The 25,624-nt window shown below is 55.2% G+C and overlaps 2 protein-coding genes and 1 long non-coding RNA gene across 4 annotated transcripts in view, besides 8 other annotated features; 2 read left to right on the top strand and 1 right to left on the bottom strand.

Annotated features, from left to right (window-relative positions):
* ZNF469 (zinc finger protein 469) overlaps nt 1–25,624 on the bottom strand; it is a 339,823-nt gene that overhangs the window by 155,577 nt on the left and 158,622 nt on the right. Inside the window, exon 2 of the mRNA XM_047434810.1 lies at nt 8,602–8,703. The gene's annotated coding sequence lies outside the window, so the exon portion shown is untranslated. The remainder of the gene's footprint in view (nt 1–8,601; nt 8,704–25,624) is intronic.
* Nucleotides 9,718–10,523: an enhancer, noted in NCBI's record as "H3K4me1 hESC enhancer chr16:88308260-88309065 (GRCh37/hg19 assembly coordinates)". NCBI's record gives its function as "activates a minimal SCP1, AML or CMV promoter by ChIP-STARR-seq in naive H9 embryonic stem cells {active_cell/tissue: H9 hESC(naive)}" and the evidence as "EXISTENCE:reporter gene assay evidence [ECO:0000049][PMID:30033119]".
* Nucleotides 13,157–13,663: an enhancer, noted in NCBI's record as "H3K4me1 hESC enhancer chr16:88305120-88305626 (GRCh37/hg19 assembly coordinates)". NCBI's record gives its function as "activates a minimal SCP1, AML or CMV promoter by ChIP-STARR-seq in naive and primed H9 embryonic stem cells {active_cell/tissue: H9 hESC(naive and primed)}" and the evidence as "EXISTENCE:reporter gene assay evidence [ECO:0000049][PMID:30033119]".
* Nucleotides 18,788–19,590: an enhancer, noted in NCBI's record as "H3K27ac-H3K4me1 hESC enhancer chr16:88299193-88299995 (GRCh37/hg19 assembly coordinates)". NCBI's record gives its function as "activates a minimal SCP1, AML or CMV promoter by ChIP-STARR-seq in naive H9 embryonic stem cells {active_cell/tissue: H9 hESC(naive)}" and the evidence as "EXISTENCE:reporter gene assay evidence [ECO:0000049][PMID:30033119]".
* Nucleotides 18,788–20,592: a biological region, named in NCBI's record as "P300/CBP strongly-dependent group 1 enhancer GRCh37_chr16:88298191-88299390".
* Nucleotides 19,393–20,592: an enhancer, noted in NCBI's record as "P300/CBP strongly-dependent group 1 enhancer chr16:88298191-88299390 (GRCh37/hg19 assembly coordinates)". NCBI's record gives its function as "activates an origin of replication core promoter dependent on BRD2, BRD4, P300/CBP, MED14 and CDK7 cofactors, with strong dependence on P300/CBP, by STARR-seq in HCT116 cells {active_cell/tissue: HCT116}" and the evidence as "EXISTENCE:reporter gene assay evidence [ECO:0000049][PMID:35650434]".
* Nucleotides 19,591–20,395: an enhancer, noted in NCBI's record as "H3K27ac-H3K4me1 hESC enhancer chr16:88298388-88299192 (GRCh37/hg19 assembly coordinates)". NCBI's record gives its function as "activates a minimal SCP1, AML or CMV promoter by ChIP-STARR-seq in naive H9 embryonic stem cells {active_cell/tissue: H9 hESC(naive)}" and the evidence as "EXISTENCE:reporter gene assay evidence [ECO:0000049][PMID:30033119]".
* Nucleotides 19,850–19,999: an enhancer, noted in NCBI's record as "active region_11350". NCBI's record gives its function as "activates an Ori minimal core promoter by ATAC-STARR-seq in GM12878 lymphoblastoid cells {active_cell/tissue: GM12878}" and the evidence as "EXISTENCE:reporter gene assay evidence [ECO:0000049][PMID:35858748]".
* LOC107984862 (uncharacterized) lies at nt 20,043–24,623 on the top strand. 2 transcript variants are annotated; one of them, NR_171662.1, is made up of 3 exons: nt 20,043–20,316; nt 22,142–22,364; nt 22,628–24,623. It is a non-coding gene; the product is annotated as an uncharacterized LOC107984862 (long non-coding RNA). The 2 variants fall into 2 exon arrangements; NR_171663.1 differs by having other exon boundaries at nt 20,043–20,412; nt 22,938–24,623.
* On the top strand, nt 20,637–25,030 carry LOC124900374 (uncharacterized). Its single transcript, XM_047435026.1, has 2 exons — nt 20,637–22,364; nt 22,943–25,030. The coding sequence occupies exon 1, from the start codon at nt 21,127–21,129 to the stop codon at nt 22,084–22,086; it is 960 nt and encodes a 319-aa protein (XP_047290982.1). The 5' UTR covers nt 20,637–21,126; the 3' UTR covers nt 22,087–22,364; nt 22,943–25,030.
* Nucleotides 23,689–24,554: an enhancer, noted in NCBI's record as "H3K4me1 hESC enhancer chr16:88294229-88295094 (GRCh37/hg19 assembly coordinates)". NCBI's record gives its function as "activates a minimal SCP1, AML or CMV promoter by ChIP-STARR-seq in naive and primed H9 embryonic stem cells {active_cell/tissue: H9 hESC(naive and primed)}" and the evidence as "EXISTENCE:reporter gene assay evidence [ECO:0000049][PMID:30033119]".

The raw sequence follows: 25,624 nt of genomic DNA, 5'->3' as shown, positions 1-25,624 counted from the left end.
CCAGATAGCAGCCCTGAGACTCCACAGTCAGTGATGGTCATGGGCACGTGTGCCTTGGGCTTCTTGGGCTGAAGCTGACGGGTATGAGGCATGTTAGGCCAGGCATGGGCAATGCGCCTCCCCCTAGCCTGGGAACCTGAGACCCGGCCCTAGGGGAACCGGCTGTGGGCTCAGAGTCGGCTGCCTGGACTCCCAAGGATGATCTCTGTTGGGAAATAACATCTCAGTGCAATCAGCACAAAACAAAATTCTTCCTGCATGAGCCTGGGACAGTGGCCTCCCAGAGTGCCAGCTGGTAGAGGACAGATGGCCCCTTTCAGCATCAGGAATCCATGTGTGGGGACCTGCGGCTCAGGCCAAGGCTGAGTCTCACTCCTCACCAAGGCCCCATCGCCCTCCTGCAGAGCTGCCAGGGGCACGGCGGAGTGTGCCTGCAGGCCGCACACCACGGAAGGCCCTTAGCACCTGCTGCTCTCCTTGGGAGGACCCACCCTGCAGAGTGTTGGTGGTGGTGAATTGTGTGTTGGTTTTTACAGGAGCCTGTTCTTTTTTTTTTTTTTTTTTTTGAGATGGGATCTCCCTCTGTCGCCCAGGCTGGAGTGCAGTGGTACAATCACAGCTCACTACAGCCTTGACCTCCTGGGCTCAAGCGATCCTCCCACCTCAGCCTCCCAAGTAGCTGGGATTACACCAGGCCTAGCTAATTTTATGTATTTATTTTTTTGTAGAGATGGGGTCTTGCTATGTTGCTCAGGCTGGTCTCAAACTCATGGGCTCAAGTCATTCTTCTTGGGATGCCCCAGGATCCCTCGGTCGAAGAGACCATCCACTTCAGGAGGCTGGGATTATAGGCGTGAGCCATTGTGCCCAGCCTGGCGTCCATTTTTATTTAGCCAGGGGCTCTGTCAGCAAACTGAGCCAAGAGATAATTGCTCAAACCTAATGGCAGCAGCAGACCTTGGGCACTCAGGGTCTACCAGCCTCCGCTGACCTCGGTCACTGGGGGTCTACCAGCCTCCGCAGACCTCGGGCACACTGGGGGTCTACCAGCCTCCACAGACCTCAGGCACACTCGGGGTCTACCAGCCTCCGCAGACCTCGGGCACACTGGGGGTCTACCAGCCTCCACAGACCTCAGGCACTCCGGACACACTGGGGGTCTACCAGCCTCCACAGACCTCGGGCACACTCGGGGTCTACCAGCCTCCACAGACCTTGGGCACACTGGGGGTCTACCAGCCTCCGCAGACCTCGGGCACACTGGGGGTCTACCAGCCTCCACAGACCTCAGGCACTCCGGACACACTGGGGGTCTACCAGCCTCTGCAGACCTTGGGCACACTGGGGGTCTACCAGCCTTCACAGACCTCGGGCACACTGGGGGTCTACCAGCCTCCGCAGACCTCGGGCAGACTCGGGGTCTACCAGCCTCCGCGTTCACAGCTGAGCTACCTTGGTGGGCCATCCGGAAAGTGGCCAGCCCTAAGAATCCGCTCCAACTCCTCACACCCCAGAGAATCATGAACGATATCCAAAGTAGGGAAAAGCCTAGAAAGTAATGTAACAGATACCCCCAACCCACCACCTAGAATTTTTTCCCAGCATTTTATTGGGAAAATTTTCAAACACACAGAAAAGTTGGAAGAATGGCGTAGCACACATCCAGTGACCCACTGCCTAGGCTCACAGTTGTTGACGTTTTACTCTTCCTGCTATTACAAATGTATTGACTTCTCCATCCCTCTCTGTTCATTCATTCGTCTTATTTTTTGATGCATTTCAAAGTAAACGGCAGGTGTCCACACACCTCCCCAACACACTTCAGGGTGTACTGCGTTAACCAGAGTTCAACATTTGTTTATGGTTGCTTTTTTTTTTTTTAGTTAAAATGTGCACATCACAAGCGTACAAGTCAATGGGTTCTGACAGAGGCGTTCCCTCGGGTGACTGAAATCCTGTCAAGGTATAGATGGTTTCCATCACCCCAGAAACGTTCCTTCCCAGTCCCCTCCCCACCCCCTAGACGACTGCTCACCACTCAGCATTTGCTCCAATAAATGTCAACGACTAAAATAAACAATTTGTGCAGCCGGGTCTTGAATAATTAGAAATGGGAAAGTGACTTTCTCCTGGGTTTGCCAACTTCTTGACCTAATGCATTGGCCAAACTCCGGAGGGAATCGCTGGGGTCCTCCTGCTCCCCGTTAAGCTAAATGTCAGGATACTCTGGATTCCTGGGGCTGCTCTGGGAGCTTGAGGGCTGCCAGGAGGTAATGCGCTCCCAGAATGCTGCACTCCCTGTGTGGACCTTAATCAGAAACAAGCCCAGACAGCTGCTTTAGGAGGGTGGAGTTTTTATAGCCGCAGTGAGTAGCTGCATCCACTCCATCGAGGTCAGGAGATGTCTCCTGCTCTGGTAACAGGGATGACCCTTTACGGGTGAGACGTGCTGACAATTGACAGTGAGGCTCTTCCCTGTGGGACTCTGCTCTGCACTGCATAAAGCTGCTTAACGGCTGAGCAGATAAGGGGCTGTGTCTGCAATCCGACGTCTCTGCAGCTGTGTGGAGGAGTCTGGCGACATCCCCCAGCTCTTATACACACTCCCCTCTGTGCATGTTGGCTCCAGATGGTCACCACTGTGTCTTCTGCAAGGTGAGCATCTGAAGGATGATTACCTCCACAGCGGGGGTCAAAAGGCCAGGGCCCAGGGCAAGGTCCAACAGGCACTGCGGGCATGATTGTTTCACAGTGACCTCAGCCTCCCCGCCACACCCAGACACACCCAGGTCCCTCTCAACACAGCACCAGGCGGCTGCCACTCATCACCCAGGGCTGACTTTTGACATAAACCCCACTTTTCACCCTGGAACACAGTGAGAACACAGGCCCAAGGTGCCTTCCGACCACCATCCACAAGGTGCACCCCTGTGGAGCCAGCACTGCCCTCTGAGCTGTGTCTCCCAAATGCCTTGAGCCTGGCTGAAGGTGTTTCCTGCCCAAAGGTGTTTCTGGCCCTTGGTCCATCCCAAGAACTGCTGGAATGTCGAGATTACATTTCCTTATCTGCCATGGACTACCCTACACTATACACCAATGCCAGCTCATACCAACCCAGGTACCAACACTGGCACAATAATGACTGATGCAATAATGTTGGCTCATTAGTACTAACTAACCCATGCACCAGCATCAGCATGATATGAACTCGTGCTCAACATCTCGCAGTACAATCCATGCACTGACCCGTGCACCAATATCCAGACACTACTGACCAAGCATCAGTGTGGCACAGCACTAACCTGTGCACTGACATCAGCACAGTACTGACCAAGCGTCAGCATGGCACAGCACCAACCTGTGTGCCAAAATTGACACAGTACTGACCAAGCATCGGTGTGGCACAGTACTAACCCATGCATGGTACTGACCAAGCGTCAGTGTGGCACAGCACTAACCCATGCACTGATATCTACATGGTACTGACCGAGTGTTGGTGTGGCACAGCACTAACCTGTGCACCGACATCAGCACAGTACTGACCAAGCATCGGTGTGGCACAGCATTAACCCACGCACCAAAATTGACACGGTACTGACCAAGCATTGGTGTGGCACAGCACTAACCTGTGAGCCAACATCGGCACAGTACTGACCAAGCGTCAGCATGGCCCAGCATTAATCTGTGCGCCAAAATTGACACGGTACTGACCAAGCATCGGTGTGGCACAGCACTAACCCATGCATGGTACTGACCAAGCGTCAGTGTGGCACAGCACTTACCCATGCACTGATATCTACATGGTACTGACTGAGCATTGGTGTGGCACAGCACTAACCTGTGCACCGACATCAGCACAGTACTGACCAAGCATCAGTGTGGCACAGCATTAACCCACGCACCAAAATGACACGGTACTGACCAAGAATCGGTGTGGCACAGCACTAACCCGTGCATGGTACTGACCAAGCGTCAGCATAGCACAGCACTAACCTGTGCACCGACATCAGCACAGTACTGACCAAGCATCAGTGTGGCACAGCATTAACCCACGCACCAAAATTGACACGGTACTGACCAAGCATTGGTGTGGCACAGCACTAACCTGTGAGCCAACATCGGCACAGTACTGACCAAGCGTCAGCATGGCCCAGCACTAATCTGTGTGCCAAAATTGACACGGTACTGACCAAGCATCGGTGTGGCACAGCACTAACCAATGCATGGTACTGACCAAGCATCAGCATAGCACAGCACTAACCCATGCACTGATATCTACATGGTACTGACTGAGTGTTGGTGTGGCACAGCGCTAACCTGTGCACCGACACCAGCACAGTACTGACCAAGCATCAGGGTGGCACAGCACCAACCTATGTGCTGACATTGGCATGGGACTGACCAAGCATCAGGGTGACACAGCACCAACACGTGCAACAAAATCAACATGGTACTGACCAAGCATCGGTGTGGCACAGCACTAACCCATGCATGGTACTGACCAAGTTTGAGTGTGGCACAACACTAACCCATGCACTGATATCTACATGGTACTGACCAAGCGTTGGTGTGGCACAGCACTAACCTGTGCACCAACATCAGCATAGTACTGATCAAGCATCAGCGTGGCACAGCACCAACCCGTGTGCTGACATCGGCATGGGACTGACCAAGCATCAGGGTGGCACAGCACCAACAAGTGCACCAAAATCAACACGGTACTGACCAAGCATTGGTGTGGCACAGCACTAACCTGTGCAAGGTACTGACTAAGCGTTGGTGTGGCACAGCACTGATCTGTGCACCAACATCAGCACAGTACTGACCAAGTGTCGGCGTAGCGCAGCACTAACTGTGCACTGATATCTACACGATACTGACTGTCACTGTGGCACAGCACTAACCGTGCACTGATATCTACACAGTACTGACTGAGCGTCAGGGTGGTGCAGTACTAACCGTGCACTGATGTCTACACAGTACTGACCAAGCGTCAGCGTGGTGCAGCACTAACCGTGCACTGATATCTACACAGTACTGACCGAGCGTCAGCATGGCACAGCACTAACCATGCACTGATATGTACACGGTACCGACTGAGTGTCGGCGTGATGCAGCACTAACCGTGCACTGATATCTACACGGTACTGACTGAGTGTCAGCATGGCACAGCACTAACCGTGCACTGATATCTACATGGTACTGACCGAGTGTCAGCGTGGCGCAGCACTAACCGTGCACTGATATCTACACGGTACTGACCGAGTGTCGGCGTGGTGCAGCACTAACTGTGCACTGATATCTACACGGTACTGACCGAGTGTCAGCATGGCACAGCACTAACCGTGCACTGATATCTACAAGGTACTGACCGAGTGTCAGCGTGGCACAGCACTAACTGTGCACTGATATCTACACGGTACTGACCGAGTGTCAGTGTGGCGCAGCACTAACCGTGCACTGATATCTACAAGGTACTGACCGAGTGTCAGTGTGGCACAGCACTAACTGTGCACTGATATCTACATGGTACTGACCGAGTGTCAGTGTGGCGCGGCACTAACCGTGCACTGATATCTACACGGTACTGACCGAGTGTCAGTGTGGTGCAGCACTAACCGTGCACTGATATCTACAAGGTACTGACCGAGTGTCAGTGTGGCACAGCACTAACTGTGCACTGATATCTACACGGTACTGACCGAGCGTCGGCGTGACACAGCACTAATCATATCTACATGGTACTGACCGAGTGTCAGTGTGGCACAGCACTAACCGTGCACTGATATCTACAAGGTACTGACTGAGCGTCAGCATGGCGTAGCACTAACCGTGCACTGATATCTACAAGGTACTGACCGAGTGTCAGCATGGCACAGCACTAACTGTGCACTGATATCTACACGGTACTGACCGAGCATCGGCGTGGCACAGCACTAACCGTGCAGTGATATCTACAAGGTACTGACCGAGTGTCAGCGTGGCGCAGCACTAACCGTGCACTGATATCTACACGGTACTGACCAAGTGTCGGCGTGGTGCAGCACTAACCGTGCAGTGATATCTACACAGTACTGACCAAGTGTCGGCATGGCGCAGCACTAACCATGCACTGATATCTACACAGTACTGACTGAGCGTTGGCGTGGTACAGCACTAATGATATCTACATGGTACTGTCCCAGTGTCAGCGTGGCACACCACTAACTGTGCACTAATGATATCTACACGCTACTGACCGAGTGTCAGCGTGGCACAGCACTAACCGTGCACTGATATCTACACGGTACTGACCGAGTGTCGGCGTGGCACAGCACTAACTGTGCACTGATATCTACAAGGTACTGACCGAGTGTCAGCGTGGCACAGCACTAACCGTGCATTAATATCTACACGGTACTGACCAAGTGTCGGCGTGGCGCAGCACTAACCGTGCACTGATATCTACGTGGTACTGACTGAGCGTCAGTGTCGCACAGCACTAACTGCACTGATATCTACATGGTACTGACCGAGCATCGGCGTGAGGCAGCACTAACCGTGCACTGATATCTACACGGTACTGACCGAGTGTCAGCGTGGCACAGCACTAATGATATCTACATGGTACTGACCAAGCGTCAGTGTGGTGCAGCACTAACTGTGCACTGATATCTACATGGTACTGACCGAGTGTCAGCGTGGCACAGCACTAATGATATCTACATGGTACTGACCGAGCGTCGGCGTGGCACAGCACTAACTGTGCACTGATATCTACAAGGTACTGACCGAGTGTCAGGGTGGCGCAGCACTAACCGTGCACTGATATCTACACGGTACTGACCAAGTGTCAGCGTGGCACAGCACTAACCGTGCACTGATATCTACGTGGTACTGACTGAGCGTCAGCGTCGCACAGCACTAACTGCACTGATATCTACATGGTACTGACCGAGCGTCGGTGTGACGCAGCACTAACCGTGCACTGATATCTACACGGTACTGACCGAGTGTCAGCGTGGCACAGCACTAATGATATCTACATGGTACTGACCAAGCGTCAGTGTGGTGCAGCACTAACTGTGCACTGATATCTACATGGTACTGACCGAGTGTCAGCGTGGCACAGCACTAATGATATCTACATGGTACTGACCGAGCGTCGGCGTGGCACAGCACTAACTGTGCACTGATATCTACAAGGTACTGACCGAGTGTCAGGGTGGCGCAGCACTAACCGTGCACTGATATCTACACGGTACTGACCAAGTGTCAGCGTGGCACAGCACTAACCGTGCACTGATATCTACGTGGTACTGACTGAGCGTCAGCGTCGCACAGCACTAACTGCACTGATATCTACATGGTACTGACCGAGCGTCGGTGTGACGCAGCACTAACCGTGCACTGATATCTACACGGTACTGACCGAGTGTCAGCGTGGCACAGCACTAATGATATCTACATGGTACTGACCAAGCGTCAGTGTGGTGCAGCACTAACCGTGCACTGATATCTACATGGTACTGACTGAGTGTCAGCGTGGCACAGCACTAACCATGCACTGCTATCTACACAGTACTGACGGAGCATCAGCGTGGTGCAGCACTAACCGTGCCCTGATATCTACACGGTACTGACCGAGTGTCGGCGTGGCGCAGCACTAACCGTGCACTGATATCTACACGGTACTGACCGAGTGTCAGCGTGGCACAGCACTAATGATATCTACATGGTACTGACCAAGCGTCAGTGTGGTGCAGCACTAACCGTGCACTGATATCTACATGGTACTGACCGAGTGTCAGCGTGGCACAGCACTAATGATATCTACACGGTACTGACTGAGCGTCAGCGTGGTGCAGCACTAACCGTGCACTGATATCTACATGGTACTGACTGAGCGTCGGCGTGGCGCAGCACTAACCATGCACTGATATCTACACGGTACTGACTGAGCGTCGGTGTGGCACAGCACTAACCGTGCACTGATATCTACACGGTACTGACTGAGCGTCGGTGTGGTGCAGCACTAACCGTGCACTGATATCTACACGGTACTGACCAAGCGTCAGCGTGGCACAGCACTAACCGTGCACTGACATCTACACAGTACAGACTGAGCATCAGTGTGGTGCAACACTAATGATATATACATGGTACTGACCAAGCGTCAGCGTGGCACAGCACTAATGATATCTACATGGTACTGACCGAGTGTTGGCGTGGCGCAGCACTAACCACGCACTGATATCTACATGGTACTGACTGAGCATAAGTGTGGCACAGCACTAATGATATCTACATGGTACTGACCGAGCGTCAGCGTGGCACAGCACTAATGATATCTACACAGTACTGACCAAGTGTCGGCGTGGCGCAGCACTAATGATATCTACCTGGTACTGACCTAGTGTCAGCGTAGGGTGGCACTAATGACATCTACAGGGTCCTGACTGAGTGTCAGCGTGGTGCAGCACTGACCCATGCACTGCTATGATTCCAGTACTAACTCGTGCACTGTCTTCATGCGATACAGCCCGTGACAATAAACATAAGGAAAAAGGCAGGACGTGACGCGAAATCAAGCTTTAAAGAGAAGAGAAAACCGCTCCTTACCCCTGTGATGCCTGGCAGTGGCGATGTGTTCACTCCAGGGTGGGGGCCGGTCTGACTGCTGGGTTCCTAGTGCAGCCGTTTGCTCTCAGCCTCCGGAGGACTCTGCAAATCACACACAGACATTTAGGCTGAGGTGCTCGGCGGGGGTGCTGGGGAAACCAGTAGGGTGCAGCCCCCCAGGGTGGGCAGTTGCCAGGCCCCGTGGAGGAGAGGGGCCAGCTTGATGGCGCTTGTCTGAAATGCACTGACTTTCCTCCCAATCCCCCCTGCTTGCTGCACCCCCACTCCATATCCAGCGAGTGTGCTTGGATGGTTTTAGCACACTCGCTTACACGCACAGGGGCCTGGCCATCCCAGGACCTGCCCATCCAGCTTTCTGTGGCCTTGACTCCTGTGCAGGGGCCTCGTTTTCTCACCCCATCCCCCACCCCCAGGATGGCATCTAAGTCTGGATCACTCTGTTTGGTCGTTGCACTGTGCCCCAGAGGGGGTGTCCACTTGCTGGCCCATGTGGAGCCTGTTGGAGGGTGCCAGGCGGCATCATGCTGGGGGAAGGACTGCAGCGCTGTGGTCCTGCCGGGGTCGCTGCCACGGCCTCCCAGGATGGACTCTGCACTTTATGGGCCTGTTCCCGTGTTTTCCAGCCCCTTGGTCTCCATCTTACAGGACTCTGTGTCTCACTTGGGCTGTGTGAGCCAGGGGCTGGGGAGACACCTTCCCCTGTTCCCCTGTGCCCCGCCTCCTGGGGGGGTCTTATCCCCTCCGCCATGCCGCAACAAGAGTCAGGACCACGCTGCCAGCCCCACACTTCCTTCCCTAACCAGGGTCCTGGGAGGCTTTGGGGTTTGGGGGAAGGAGGAAATCAGGCTCGTGACAAACACCGGTTTAGAAGCTGCATGGGATTCAGAGCCAGCAGCCTGGACACCAGCCTGGTCTTTCAGTGCCTCAGTGTACCCACTCTAGTCATGAGGAGAAAGCCGCGCCTCCCTCTCAGGGTGATGACAGAGGTGGAAGGATGCTGTGAGGGCCCGAGCCACTCCAGGCACCCTCCCGCCATCAACGCCCCGGAAGGTGGGTGGCGGCAGGAGCTGTGGCTCTGAGGGGATCTCAGGAGCACTGGATTCTTGGTGCCTTCCTCAGCACCCGTCACCCCAGCTAACTCCAGCTAACTCAGCACCCATGACTCCAAGTAACCCAGGTAGCTTCCAAAGACATGTTTTCTTGTCTCTGGTGATGTTTTACATGTAAAAGTGCAGAGCACCGGAGGCTGGGGTCTTTGCATGGTGGCTGTGCTTGCTGGGATCCACTGTTCGGCCTCCCCAGGTGCTCGCCGGCCCCTCCCCATTTTATGTAGGATCGTTCGGACTGTCAGCGAGACATAAAAAAGCAGCTGCCTGCAGAGGCCAAATGCGCGGCAGGCTCCCGTCTCCACTGTCTAATTAATTAATCGTTTCCAGGTTGCAGAGCTCGTGGGAGCATTTGTGCCCTATCTCTCCAGCCCACAGACATGGGGGTGGGGACACCCAGGCTTCCCGGAAACCCCCTCCCACACACTCACTCTGTCTTTAAGGCAACTTTGCTCCTTTTTAGTTTTTAAATCAGAGTGTTGGCATGTGTGCGAGCGAGTGTCCAAGCGTGTATACGCTGTTTGTAAAACAGCTCGGCTGTTGCCTGGGGGCCAGTGCTGCCCCATAAGCAATGTTTGCCAGTGTCCGTCTGCGAACCATGTCAGGTCCATGAGAAGGTTCTCAGGATCCTACGGCCATGAGTGAGGGCTAAGGCAATACGGCGAGTCCTCCATGAAGCTACGGTGAAAGAAGTGTCCTTTACTCTAATAACTGAATAGCAGAATTGAACTGAATTCTGTAGTTTTAAAACCTTCTTCCAAGGATAACAGAAACACAGAAAAATGAGCAAGCAAGCACACCCCCACGGCCTTTTCACACAGAGCACACGCATGTCACCAGAGCCCGATCCAGAATCAGGACACGGCCTGCCCTCCCCGGGGGCCCCGCCCGGACACCAGCCTGTCTTCTGAAGGCAGAGGGTGGGCTGATCTGTTGTGAAACTTCTATTGGTGCGGTCACACCAGAAGCATGTGACTTCATGCAACACCATGTCTATGAGACTTATATTTCTATCTTTTATTGTGGTAAAATACACATAACATAAAATTTACCACTTTAGCCATTTCTGAGTAAGCAGTTCAGTGGCATCAAACACGTTTCCGGCATTGTGCAATCACCACCACCATCCACAGAACTCTCTTCAGCTTTCCAACTGAAACTCTGTCTCCATTAAAGACTAACTTCCCAGCCCTGTGAATCTCACTGCTCTAGGGACCTCACACCATGGGTATTAGACAGTTTTTGTCTTTTTGTGTCTGGCTTATTTCATTGAGCAGAATGTCCTCAGGGTCCGTCCATGCAGTAGCATGTGTCAGAGTTTCTTAAGGCTGAATAAAAAATATTCTGGCCAGGCGCGGTGGCTCACGCCTGTAATCCCAGCACTTTGGGAGGCCGAGGCAGGCGGATCACGAGGTCAGGAGATCGAGACCATCATGGCCGATATGGTGAAACCCCGTCTCTACTAAAAATACAAAAAATTAGCCGAGCATGGTGGCAGGTGCCTGTAGTCCAGCTACACGGGAGGCTGAGGCAGGAGAATGGCGTGAACCCGGGAGGCGGAGCTTGCAGTGAGCCGAGATCGCGCCACTGCACTCCAGCCTGGGCGACAGAGCGAGACTCCGTCTCAAAAAAAAAAAAAAAAAATATTCCACAGTGTGAATACACCACATTGTATGTATCCATTCACCTGTCCACGGACACTGAATTTCTTCCACCTTTTAGCAGTTGTGAATAGTGCTGCTGTGAACATGGGTGTGCGGATGTTTCTTTGGACCTCAGCTTTCAGTTCATTTGGGTATGTACACAAAAGTGGCTGAATCATAAAGCAGATATAGTTTTAATTTTTTGAGGAACTTCCATACCGTCTTCCACAGATGCGGTGCCATTTACATTCCCACCAACCTTGCAGGAGGGTTCCAGTGTCCCTACGTCCTTGCCAACACATGTTATTTTCTGGTTTAGCTTTGTGTTTTATGGTAATTATCTTAATGGGCGTGAGGTGGTATGTCAGTGTGGTTTTGATTTGCATTTCCCAATGATTAGTGATATTGTGCGTCTTTTCATGTGCACGACTTTGTAAAATAAGTTCTATATAAAAATCCTTTGTTGGATGGATATTATTGAGGAACTACTGCAGAGTAATGTGGTTGTGAGGGACAGAACCATGACTGTTTTCCTCTGAAGGTCATTCTTTTCTAGCATAACACCACACAGGATTGCAGCAAGTGGTTTCAACTGGCAACTTCATTCATGCATCCATTCACTCACCCATCCATCTATCTATCTATCCAGCTATCCATCCACCCACTCACTCATCCAGCCATGTGCCTGCCTGTCCACCTACCCACCAGTCTATCTATCCATCCACCCATTTATCCACCGTTCATCCATCTATCCACTCGTCTATCCACACACCCACCCATTCATCCATCCGTCCACTCGTCTATCCACACACCCACCCGTTCATCCATCCGTCCACTCGTCTATCCACACACCCACCCGTTCATCCATCCGTCCACTCGTCTATCCACACACCCACCCGTTCATCCACCCGTCCACTCGTCTATCCACACACCCACCCATTCATCCATCCGTCCACTCGTCTATCCACACACCCACCTGTTCATCCATCTGCCCACTCGTCTATCCACACACCCACCCGTTCATCCACCTGTCCACTCGTCTATCCACACACCCACCCGTTCATCCATCCGTCCACTCGTCTATCCATACACCCACCCGTTCATCCATCCGTCCACTCGTCTATCCATACACCCACCCGTTCATTCATCTGTCCACTCGTCTACCCATATACCCACCTGTTCATTCATCTATCCACTCGTCCATCCATACACCAACCTGTTCATTCATCTATCCACTCATCTCTCCATACACCCACCTGTTCATTCATCTATCCACTCATCTATCCATACACCCCCCTGTTCATTCATCTATCCACTCATCTATCCATACACCCCCCTGTTCATTCATCTATCTCACCACCCAGCATACAACCATCCACACCATTTATCCACCATTCATCCATCCAGTCACCATCCATCCACCTACCCACCCATCCATCCATCTACATCAACCCACTCATTCATCCACCCATCTAACCACCCAGCATGCATACATCCTCCCACCCACCCACCCATCCATCCACCCACCCATTCGTCTATCCACATATCCATTCATTACTTCTCATCCATCCATCTACTCATCCACACATCCATTTATCCATCCATCTAACAACCCGCAATTCATCCACCCACCCATCCATCTACCCACCCACTCGTCTATCCATCCACCTACCCATTTACCCAAAATTCATCCATCTACCCACTCATCTATTCATCCATCCACCCATTTATCTATCCATCTACCCACCTATTTATCCCCAGTTCATTCATTCACCCACTCATAAATCCATCCGTCTGTCCACCCATTCAACTACCCAACCACTCATCTATCCATTCACCTACCCATTTATCCACAATTCATCCATCCACCCACTCATCTACCCATACACCCATCCATCCATCTGTCCATCCACTCACTCATTCATATATCCATCCACCCACCCATTTATCCACAATTCATCCATCTACCCAACCACCCACCATCCATCCACCCACCCCTGAGAGCCCTGCCACGTCTAGAATCTGACACTGTGCCCCAGCCCTGTCTGTTCCCAACTCTGTTGAGTTCTTGATGGTCAGTTCCTACTTAGTCTCCATTGGACCTGCCTGCTGTGGTGACTCAGCTCCCCTGCCTCACCTTCGCTCTGACCCTTTGTTGATTCCTGCATGCAGCTCTGCTCTGAGCTCCATGGGGATTCCTGCTGTTGGGGCCTGGCCCCCTGGATGCTCTAGTCTCAGACCCTGTTGGGAGCAAGCAGCGTCATCAGGCAGCTTCCTTTCCACGTGCCACACATGCCGTCCTACTGAGGCCTTCGAGACCTTTGCAGCCCAGCCCTGGAAGCCAGTCCGCCCACTGTGAACTCACACGGCTCCCCACACTTCATGCCTCTGTCTGGGCTGTTCTAGTCTAGGCCACCTTCTCACAAATCACCCTCATGGTCTGCGAAGCCGCCTCTGACCCCGGCCCCGGCCCTAACCCCCTCCCTGGGGGAAGAGCAGCTGCACATGTTGCCACATTCCCACGTACTTTGTCCAAATTCTGCACAATAGCTTTTCCGCAGGGTCTGTTATTACCAACAAAGATGATGACGGTGACTAACGTCAACACGCTCTCCGGGAAGCCAGGCCTGGGCTCGAGCATTCTGTGCAGAATCTCACTGAATCCTTTCAACAACCCTATAAGGCAGGTTCTGTTACCATCCCCCTCTTATAGAGGAGGACCCCTGAGGCTCAGAGAGGGAATGCGACTCATTCCAAGTCACACAGTGAACAACTGAGCTGAATCCCAACCCAGGCCTGTCTGATTCCAGAGCTGGGATGTGGACCGGCCGTGAATCCTCAGCCTGGATGCCAGCCCCGAGAGGGGGGACCCACACCTGAACTGTCTGTTCCTGAACTGAAAACAAGAATGAATGAATGAATAAATGATAGAATAAATGGGTGGAGGCTCAAGCCAACGGCACTGATCTCAAAGCCCAGAAGTTCTTGGCGGTTAGCCCTCCATAGAAAGCCTTGAACACCACACAGAAGTGTTCAGCGATGGGCTTTTCCTTCCCAGAGAGGAGGAATGAGAAGCAGGCAAAAGCCAAGAGAAAAACAAGAGGCAGAGGAAAGCAGCCTGGAGAATTTTCCCGTGGAGTGAGCATGATTGCTTTGGATACTTGGAATCTGGGCACAGTCTGTGAAGCATCGAGTATGGTAAAAGCCTTTGGTTTTGTATGCTGCAGACGGATGGAATGTCACTGTCTGGGAAGCTCAGGCACAGAAGCATGCACACAAATGCCCAGGGAGTCTGCATGATAAGCAGGCCCTGAGCAGCCATGTGGAGTCCGGCCTTGTCCTGAGCCTCTGGCTGTCCCCATTTTCCATACCCTCCAGGCAGCAGGTGCGAGCATCCAGGACCCTGGTGAGCTGGCCGGCCACATGGGCACACACAGCCATCAGCCCACGGTGCTGAAAGGCCCAGCTGGTTTGTGAGCAGCCAACCAGATCTCCTCCCCTTCACCCTCAACGTCCTTGGGAAGGATGGGTGGCAGGGCTGGGAGGCCGAAGGTCAAGGAGCTGGAGTCCCCTGGGCCCAGGGTGGGGAGCAGGGCCCTGGCCAGACCCTCTCTCTACCCACATGGGCTTGGGGTCATCCAGGAGGATGCATGCCAGAATTCTGGTCCATGAAGATTTGGCATTTCACTGCAGGCGCAATTTACCTCCAAGAAAAAAAAGCTACTAACGAATGCCAGTCTCCAGCTGATGATGGCTTGCCCCGTCTACAGGAGGCAGTGCTGATGTCACAACCACCTAGAAATGCAGGACGCGAACCTAGATCCTGGATGGTGGTTTCTAGAAAACACTCTGCTCTAAAGGAGCCGGGGCTCCATGGAGAAGTGGCTGAGTCCAGGGCGTGGGCAGGAGAATGACTGGGTGCACCTGGAGCATCTACGCCGGGAAGTCAGACACACTCAGAAAAGGTGGGGACACTCCTGACCACCTCAGGAGCCATCAGAAGCCACTGAGGTTGTAACTCATGGAATAGAGTAACAACTCACAGGGCCATCCTGGTGACAGAAAAACCGGCAAATGTGTGCTGGGGGGATTGGTCAGCAGTTCCCGAGAGCAGGATACCAACCAGCAGGTGCAGAAGACGTGATTTAAACAAGCGTCCCGGTAAGGATGGGTGGGAGGATGCCACACAGACATGGTGGGAGGAAGCTGGGCAGCCCAGGTGGAGGCGGGGCCCATAGTGTGTGCAGGGGTCTTAAGAGGTCCGTGTGTTTGGAAAGTCACATAGTAAGATGTTGAGAAAAGATAAAAATAAAGATGAGGATTGGGAAAAAGAAAAGAAAAAGAAAAAGAATGTGCTGCAGGGTGATATTCATCTCCTGTGGGAAACACCAGTTCTACCCACCTGCCACAGGCCCGGCCGCCAGGGTGCACCCACCTGCTGTAGGCCCGGCCGTCCGGGTGCACCCACCTGTCATAGGCCCGGCCGCCTGGGTGCACCCACCTGTCACAGGCCAAGCCGCCTGGGTGCAGTTTTTATCCCTATTTTGCAGGGAAAGAAGCTAAGGCGCAGAGAAATTATGCAGCTTGCCCCAGCCGGCCGTGGAAAGTGGAAAGACTCAAACCCAGTTCCACTGGTGTGGAGCCCAGCTCCCGCCTGCCGTGCCTGCCCCACCTTCACCTGCTCCTCATGGAAAGACTGGGCTGTGAGAAAGGGGAGGGCTGAGCAGAGGGACCCAGCATACCCAGCCCTCACCCAGGCCCTGCATGGCCCAGACCCTCCTAGGTCAACTGAAATACCATCTCTCCTCCCGGCAGCCCGTGACCTTCCATGCCCTTCCAAGGGCCTAAATGTGATGTCACTGCCCAGGCCCAGGGCTCTATGTGTCCAAGGATCCCCTCCCTCTTCAGGGGAGGCTCACAGAGGGGAGGTGACCTGCCTGGTGTCCCACAGCTCATGGGGGCCGGGCTGCACGTTTTCCACACAGAAAACATTCGATGTACTTCAAGCGAGTGTCTGGGGCACCCTCCCAGGCTTACCTCAAAAAAAATGTTATGGTGGCCCGGGCTTAGTGACTTGCTTCCAAAGAACAGAGTAGAGAAGTGTGACAAGCGTGACCTCAGCCCAGCGGCCCAGGTCAGTGTCGACAGCCACACGTCCTGCTGGCGGTGCCAACCCCCACGGGGATATGAGGCACCAAGCACTTGACCCCTGCATGTTCTTCCTGAAAACCCAGGATCTCACTCTACCCAGGAGAAAAACGCCAGGAGAACTCAAATTGAGGGACAGTCCACAAAATACTCAGCCGGTCCTCTTCAAAACTGTCAAGGTCCTCAAAAATAGGGAAATTCTGAGAAACGGTCTCAGTTGAGAGGAGGCCCTGGGGATGGAGTGTCACACGGGGTCCTGGGACAGAACACAGATGTTGGTGAAAAAACGACTGAAATCAGAACCAAGTCTGACATTTGTCTGTAGTCAGTCAATGTTGTTGATGTACAGACCAACGTCATCTTCTCAGGGTAGCCAAATGCACCACAGAGACTTAAGACACCAGCGAGGGGGAGACTGACAACGGGGCATGGGAACGCAGGGCTCATGCCACAACTGTCCTAGAAATAGAAAATTCTTCCAAAGTAAAAAGTTTACATTTAAAATATAGGGAAAAGACTTGAATAGACATTTCACCAAAGACGACATGTCAATGGCAAATAAACACATCCAAAGGAGCTCAACCTCCATGAAGAGGGGAAAAGCGCATCGAAGCCCACTGCACACCTGCTGGAATAACCCTGATCAAAACCCAGAGGATGGCAGGAGCCGGTAAGAATGTGGAGAAATCGGTTCCCTTGCTGCCGGGGGGCATGGGAAATGGCTCAGCCGCTTTGGAAAGCCAGCTGGTGCTGTTAAAAGGTGAAAGGTCGGCTTACTCAGGACCCGGCAGTGCCACCCCAAGGAATCTATGTGAGTGAAGTGAAACCTACTGGACACTCATCGCTGCATTATCCCAAACAGCCCGACCTGCAAACAGCCACGGTGTCCCTGCTGACCCCCTGCCCCCAGTACAGCCTCCTCCTGGACTTGGGTAAGTCAATCCCCCAACAGGTGCACCCTCCCCTCCATTTCCACTCAGCCCTTATCCCCCAGGGACCCACTCCACACCTGGGGGCCCTGTGTGGTGACCTCCTGCCAGGCCAGCCTGCCCCAGAGGGAGGAACACAGAATCCATTTGGAACCGAAAGGGACTCAGCTCAGCCGGGAAAAGTAGGCTCTTTATTTCCAGCCTCACTGACCACGTGCTGCTCTGTGTCCGTGGTGGACCAGCCCTGGGCATGAGATGAGCAGAGCTGGCCCCCGGACCCCTCCTCACCACGTCTGAACGGACAGCACTTCTGTGTCCAGGGGTGTGCGTCGGGCTCCCGGGCAGACAATCCCTGGGCTTTCGCGACTGGCACCGAAGTGAGGCTGGGCAAGAAGGCACTGGGCCAGATTCCTCCCTGGGGCACTTAAACGGGGCCACAGGGAAAGAATCGATGTGGTGACGGGTGGAGGCGGGGCTCCATGGCAGCCACGGTCAGGAGCAAGCCCTCGGCAGCAAGGTATAAATAAGCCAAAGTGACAGGGGCAGATGAGTGACACGGACAGACCACACGCAGAGAGTGAGGGCGCCGATGGAGGGTGCCGCCAGCCAGTGTGAGCCGCAGGGAGAAGGCAGATAGAGTGAGCTCCAGAGTCGTGACCCACGGACACCCAGGTCCTCTTGCCGGGCACCCGGAGCGCCTGGAATCCAGTTCCCGAGGACTTGGCGGGGGCTGCTGCTCCAGGGCCCCCCTGGTTATGGCTGGGATGAGTTTGCAGAGGATGCCCCCGCCACCAAGCTCACACCTATAAACACTGATCATACAAAGTGTGTCATTCTTGTCACACCAACTAAAACTGCCTTCGGAAGGCAGGGGAAAAGTACTCAGGGCACGACACTGCTCCAAGGATGGAACTCTCTGCAAGTCCAGCTGCTGAAACTGCCTTTTGTCACCTGGGACCAGTTTTATCCACAGCTGCTGAGGTCACTTGCTCCAACTCCAGAAGGAATTCTGCTCACAGCTGTCACACCGACCAGCACGTCCCAGGTCCTCAGAACTTTCCCAGCGCCAGTGAACTTTCTCAAAGAGCAATAGGTAACCTTCTCCTTTCTTGTAAAACCACCAACCTTCTACTGCTTCTCCAACCTCCACCATTTACCTGGTCGGCACGTATGCCCCAAGATGCAATCCTTTCTTCCCAAATAAAACGTTAAACTTGGAAATTCGCCTCTACATTTTTATTTTGACTTGAACATACCCCAGCAACCGTGAGACCCCGAGGACACGAGTGACCTTCCCTGCTCCTGGTTCCTTCGTGTGCACGACAGGCCGTACTGTCTCCTGGAGCCTGGGGCCTGACACCTGGAAGCTCAGCCGGAGCGGCCCCAGCAACCTCCCTGTAGCTCCAGCAGTGCCATCCCTGTGGTCAGCGTGGACCTGGCCTCCCAGTGGCCCCAAGTCCCCCCATAGCTCCAGTGGTGCTGTCCCTGCAGCGTGAACCCGGCCTCCCAGTGGCCCTGCATTCCATGGAGGGCTGGGCCCCCTGCCCTCCTGAGCCTCACAGTGGCCAGCCAGCCTCACACGCTGCTGACCCTCAGTAGTGGCCAACCCCGTGTCTGTCGGAGGGCACAGGCCACCATCCCCACGGAACTCAGGCCTGCTGCCTGGGCAGGGGCCCTCCAGGAAGCCTGGCACTTAGGGGTGGCAGCTCAAGCTTGTTGGGGGTGGGGAGCTGGCCGGGCACTCAGGGCCCGTCATGTGCAAATTTGGGCCAATCCCACCCCCTCTGGGCCTCTGTCCCCATTTACCAGAGAAAGATGGTCTCCGCTGAGCCAACCACCTTCATCTAAACCAAAGGACAGAAACCACCTCTGCTGAGCCTGGAGGCAGCCAAGGGAGTGGAGAAGCCAGCGGGGATCCCCTGGTTGGGCCACACACACCCCAGTGAGGCTGCGAGAGAGACGCGCCGCCTCCCGAGGTGCAGAGTTTCGCAGGGCACAACCCACTCCCGTCTGCTCCTGCAGCACCCTGTGACCCAGGACGGGCGGGTTTCCTGTGCCCCACTTCACAGACGGGAACATTGAGGCTGAGGGGAGCTGAGTGAGGTGTTTGCGGTCCCCAGCCACACGGTGTGGCTCTGGCTTTGCTCAGATGCCACACGCTGCACGCACTCCTTTACTGGACGCACCCGGCCCCGCCGGATACTGCCGTGCCCCCTCCCAGGACAGCAGCAGGAGCACCCAGCCCTCCTGGATGTCCCCCTGCCCCTCTGTGCCGCAGCCCTCATGACTCACTGGGAGGCCAAAAGGAAGCCCCAAGTGATTTTCTAGCAGCACCTCCCGCAGCCCTCGGGGTGAGGCTGGGCTGTTCTGCCTGCGAGTGGTGCTAGGGGAACCTCCTGAGGGGTCCCAGGAAGGCCCCTGGCCTCCTGCCTCCACACCCCTGATTTCTTGGATCCCTTTCTTGGTCAGTGAGAGCCGACCGGGTGAAGTCACCCCTGGAGGAGGAGGGAGCTGAAGCAGCCGGTGACTCACTCACACGAGACAGTGGGCGGCGGCCAGGGCAGAGCGGGACTCCCCATTGCTGGCTAAAATCCAGACAGCGCCTTGGCCTGAGGTGTCCCTGACAGGATGAGGGCGGAGTGGCAGCTGCCGAAACCTGAACTCCTCTGCCCTGCCCCCGTCCCTTGAACCCACGCATCTAGTAGGTCAGCGCCAGAGGAAATCCTCGAAGAAAATGGGCGTCTCCCTTGCTGAGCACAGAACCGCAGTCAGCCCTGTGTGCCCGCTCCCTGGATGAGGACAGGAAGGACATGGGGGAGAGGCCACGGTCACCCTCAGGAGCCCCCAGACCCACTGGAAAGCAGCGCAGTGAGCATCTGAGCAGTACCGCCTGTGCCTGGCGCGAGGGTGCGAGGCGGGGGGCCGTGTGGCCAGGCAGCCTAGGGTTGCGCCAAAGCCCAGCAGGTGTGGGACGAGCAGGACTGGACTGGGAGGGGCTCGGGGGAGCGGGGACCTGTGCTGAGCTTGAGGTGTGGCTGGGCTGGGAGGCCGGACAAAGGTGTGTCTCCTCTGGCCATGCAGGGGTCAGGCGGTGGTGCTGGGGAGGGGGATGTGGGAGGAAGATGGGGCTGGGATGAGGGGGGAGGAGGATGTGGGAGGAAGATGGGGCTGGGATGAGGGGCCAGGGCTGAGCTCAGCAGGTATTGGAAGGTGCCATGGCTCTGTGAACATGCACAGGTGGGGAGGCTGGGGTGGGGGCAGAGCAGGGGACAGTCCTGGAGCCAGCAGACAGGAGGAGGCATCTCTACAGCACCCCAGGCTTGGAGACAGGGCTGGCTCACCTCAAAGGGGGCCATGGGAGAGAGGAAGGTGGGCATCAGGGCTGGCCTGCCCCGGCCCCAGGAATACGTGGGAGTTGAGCTGCATGAGGGGTGGCCAGCCTAGGGCAGGGCAGGAGCCACGGGGCGTCCGCTCCTCTCTGTGGGTTTCGGTGTGGGAGGAGGAAGGACAAGCTCCTCCTGGAAGCAAAGGGGCCTGAGGACCCAGGAGCAGAGTGACCTTGTGGGCAGGGCCGTCCCTGAGGCCTGCCACATGCAGAGGACGTGGCCCCTGTGGCCAGCTTGGTGCCAGGAGCAGGTCCTGGGGGGTGGGGAGTAAGTCTCCCAGGGGCCGAGCTCCATGAGTACACGTGGTGTGGACACTGGGCCTGCCACAGGGAGGCTGGTGTGGGCAGGAGGCTCCCTGGGAAGTGGAGAAGCGCTTTCTGTGAGCTTGTTCCAGGGCTCTGGTCAGCCCAGCCTGGGGTCTCATGGCCACGCAGGTCAGCAGGAAGGGGAAGATGCCCCAGCAAGGAGGCAGGAAGGCGGCCTCTGCCCGGCGCATCAGTCTCGGAGGTGGGGGACCCAGGGTTTGTTCTCAGCAGGCCTCCTCTCCTCCTCTGCCTCACAGTCACCTCTGGGATGGGAGAGGCGGTGTCTGCAGGGCCCTTCCCACAAAGTCTGTCCATCTGCCCCTGCTGCTGCTGCAAGGGGCTACGGGTCCTCTGGCGACTCTGGACCCCCCGGAAAAGGGAGGCTTGAGCTGCCCACTGCACCCTTGACCCCTTCTGAGCCTCTCAGCAAAGTCCCAATCCACCCTCCTCAGGAGGTCCCAGGGATTTGCCCACATGGGCACCCCATGCCCTCAGCCAACCAACCCCACCATGGCCCACACGCCTGCCCCTCCCTCTGTCTCCTTGGGGCCCCGCACACGTTGGCACAGAACATCTCCCTGCTGGGTGACCTCTTCCCGCGAGCGGCCCAGGACAAGTGCAGCCTTCTGGGCAGACACAGGGAGCGGGCGTTCCCGATTCACAGAGGACTCACCTCGGCGTACTACAGCAGCCTGGCAGAGCCCAGCCTGCGACAAGGGCCTCATATGCATCTGTTGAGTACACCAGTGAATCCCAATCCCCTAGTTCGTTTTCTACCCCAGAGGCCCAACAACTGGGTGGGGTGGGGGAGGCATTTCGCTGGACGCCGTGGAGACGCAGTATCGTCCGGGAACCTGAGTCTCCGTAAACCCCGGGGTTGGACAGACCAGTGCCAGCAAGCTCCTTCACAGAGAGGAACTCAGACACGAATCCCTGGAGACTCCTAGTTCTCATACAGAGCTTGTTTTTTCACTTCCATTTTCAAAGTCCGGATTTTCACAGGTCTGCTTCTCCCGGGGGCCACGCCTGCATTTCTGCGAACGATCCCCAGCTGTCGCTAATGAAACGCTCCTCCACTGAGAGGGAGCCCAGCCCCACTCAAGCCGGTCAGAGCTCATCCGTAGGAGGCTGTGTGGGGGTCACGCCACCACAGGACGCAGATCTGCCCGAAGCCTGTTTTATTGCACTTAACTAATTCCCAAGATAAACCACTGGGAATTTCCATGTAAGCACTTAGGCCTCTGTTTATGAGAATCTTTGATCCACTGAGAATGTTTAGAACTCACTGAAGCATCCCTGGCCCTGCCCAGCATCAAGCCTTCCGAGATGCGTGAGGGCAGGGAAATTGTCGGCCTGTGCTTGGTCTGTGGGGACCCAGGACCCCAGGAGGGGACCCCAATAGGGAGCCTCTGCCCCCCAGGTGGTGGGGTCTCTGCTGGGACTCTGCAGGCTCCTGCCCGTGGCCAAGTTCATGGCTGTCTTTTCCAGAGCTGCCCCAGAGCCCTAGACAGCCCCATGGAAGGGCCCATCTTCCTCCAGCCGTGGAGGAAATTTGCAGCCATCCGTGACCTGCAAACTGTAGCTTATGATGGACTGCTCCCCATCCACCAAAGCCCAGCCACTTGGTTTGGAAGCCACTGCCCCAAATGGCCCCTCTCCAGTCACTGAACTGCAGTTCAAACGCCCCACCCCTCGGCTCTTTGAGCAGCCAGGCTGCCTTCTCGCTCTGGGATGGTTTCTTCAAAACCCTCTGGAGTATGTCCAGTTCTTCTGTTATTTCAGGGTGTTTTATTTCCAGCACAGATTTCCACTTCTGCTACCACCGGGATGGAAAAGGCCTCTTCCCTCAGATTCCCCCAATCCCAAGAATGCAATTCCTTCACTAATGCTGAGTGGAGACATAGTCTCTACAATCCAGAAGGCTGAGTGAGGTGGAAACGTCGGTGCAGCCTGCAGCTCACCTGGTTGTCACTCGTAGATCGGCCTCGGAAAGCTCCAGGAAGTTGGTTTGGGATGAGCCGGGCGTCCTGCACAGATGGTGGGAGGGAGAGGAGGCCGGAGCTTCAGCCAGTGCAGCGCCATGGCCCCTGTTCTGTGGTTCACTGGGGTGTGAGGCCTTCCTTGGGCTCAGAGAGGGGGCCTCCGAGTCCTCATCCACAGAAGCCCTCTGTGCCACCAGCAGGGAACAGCCAGCAAAGAGCCTTCACCCTGAAGATCCAGACGGAATTCTTGGTTTCTACAGCTGCTCCCTGCCTCTCCCCACAGCCACGGGAAGGGGAGTTAACCGAGGCAGCCCCCACCCGAGACAGACCTGCACAGGGCCAAGAACTTGCCCTGTGGTAGGGCTGGGGGAGGAGCGGCTGGTGGACTTTCTGTGTCAAAGGCAGGTGTCACTTTCAGCTCATTAATTTCACTTCTCCAGGTTCTCAATCCACCAAAATGAGCTCTTTACAAAGGCCAGGACCTGCCCTTCTAGAGGACAGGCTCATACTTCCCAAAGCTTCAGGACTTCGGGTCCTGTGGCTGCCCATCCGTCAGCAGAACTGGGTGAGGCCAGGTGTGACATCAGACAAGTCCCCCGCCTCTGGCAATTCCTCAGCGGGGGGCATGACCTACTGTGCATTCCAGGGCTGCGGCACATGTACTTACCCCTTAGCCTTGGACCACAAGCCTCCCCCAGCCCAAAATGGAATGGGGACAGCCTCTGCCACAGGGAGGGGCAGGTGGTGCCGTGTGAGGGGCGGTGGCACCCAGGGCTTTTCTCACAAGGAAAAGGAACCTCAAAGTGTTTCTCTCTGCACACTTTGCCTCCCTCAAATGCGGGCTCCTTCCTCTCCCACCCGCATCAGCAGCTGAGGCCCCAGAAGGGCCCACCTGTGTCCCGCCCACCATGCGTGAGATCGCTGATTGCCTCCTGGGATAGTGGCAGCGTGCTCGAGCCTCTCCGGACCGCATCCCAGCTGTTAGAACCAGGAAGCCCCCGTCAGGCACCAAGACCCCCAGACGCTGGCCCGGGCTCCCCATTTTCACTTGATCCTCTCCGCCGTGTTTCTGTCTTCCTGGGGCTGCAGGCGTTTTGGTCATGGCTGCATCACACCAGAGTCTGCGTCCGTGGCCACGCAGCCTCCTCCTTTTCTCCGTGTCTTAAACTTCTTTCTGTTCCCTCTTATCGGGACCTCCTGATGCCATCAGACGCCGCCCCACCATGGTTCAGAACAATCTTTCCATCTCAAGATCCTCAGTTCAATCACATCTGCAGAGACCCTTTTTTTCTGTGTAAAGTAGCATTCACAGGTCCCAGGGATTAGGATCTGATATCTCTGGGGCCAGTACAGATGGGTTTGAGATTTGATCATGGAGAAAAGAAATGACGGCATTTAGCTCTATATCCTAGTCAACACGGAGCCGCGAGCATGATTGAGAAGAACGTCAAAGATCAAGCAGTTTTGTAAAAGAGTAAAGCCCCTCCACTCTCCTAAACCCAGCCAATTTCTCAAAATTTGTGAGAGCGGCGTCCTCCCAGCAGCAAACACAAGGGACACGTGTGTGCACCCAGACCAGCACCTACCACTCTAGACAGTCCCCAGAGCGAGGCTTAGGACTGACGGCCGGAGATGCAACCGTGGCCAGGGGCCCAGAGCTCATTGAAACCTGCTCAGTCCAAGGCCTTAGGCTGAGCCTGACATCGTGTCGTATTGTGGAAACACTCGTTCCCTCATTCAGCCGAATGCTTTTTAAAGCGACTTTTTGGCTGGGCACGGTGGCTCGCGCCTGTCAACCCAGCACTTCGGGAGGCCGAGGTGGGAGGATCATTTGAGGTCAGGAGTGTGAGACCAGCCTGACCAATATGGTAAAACCCTGTCTCTACTAAAATACAAAAAAAAAAAAAAACACTAGCAGGGCGTGGTGGTGTGCGCCTGTAATCCCAGCCACTCAGGAGGCTGAGGCAGGAAAATCACGTGAACCCGGGAGGCGGAGGTTTCAGTGAGCCAAGATCTTACCACTGCACTCCAGCCTGGGTGACAGAGTGAGACTCTGTCTCGAAACAAAAAAACAAAAAAACAAAAAAAAAGTGACTTTTTATCTTTTTATTCTAAAACAGTTTTAGATGTACAGAAAAAATATGTAAATCTGTAAATGTCCGGATGGGGCTTGTGTCCTAGGAGTAAGACATCAGCTCTGCTGCTCAGATGTCCAGGAGGGTCTTCGGCGGAGCCTGCAGCCCCCCACCCCAGGGTCAGGGGTCTCTCCCTGGAGGGAGGGATCAGCGCCTGGACTTTGGGGAGGCCGCTTGGGGGCCACGGTGTGTGGAGACCCTGGGACATTGGTGTGAGTGCAGGTGGGGGTGAGACGCAGAGGAGAGGCATCTTGGGAGGAGAAAGAGCGCGGTGCCTGGGGGTGGCTGTCAGGCTGGGAGATCCTGGGGCTCATAGGGATTCTGGGGTCCCAGGGAACCCCTAAGTTTGGAGGCTGGACAGGCCCCCA

The sequence above is a fragment of the Homo sapiens genome, chromosome 16 (genome assembly GCF_000001405.40).
Source record: "Homo sapiens chromosome 16, GRCh38.p14 Primary Assembly".
NCBI lineage: Eukaryota > Metazoa > Chordata > Mammalia > Primates > Hominidae > Homo > Homo sapiens.
The sequence above is the reverse complement of the archived record's forward strand: the minus strand, read 5'-3'. Positions and strand labels throughout refer to the sequence as shown.

Coding starts and splice junctions, on each gene's coding strand:
- LOC124900374 (XM_047435026.1), top strand. CDS start 21,127: ATGAGTACACGTGGTGTGGACACTGGGCCTGCCACAGGGAGGCTGGTG.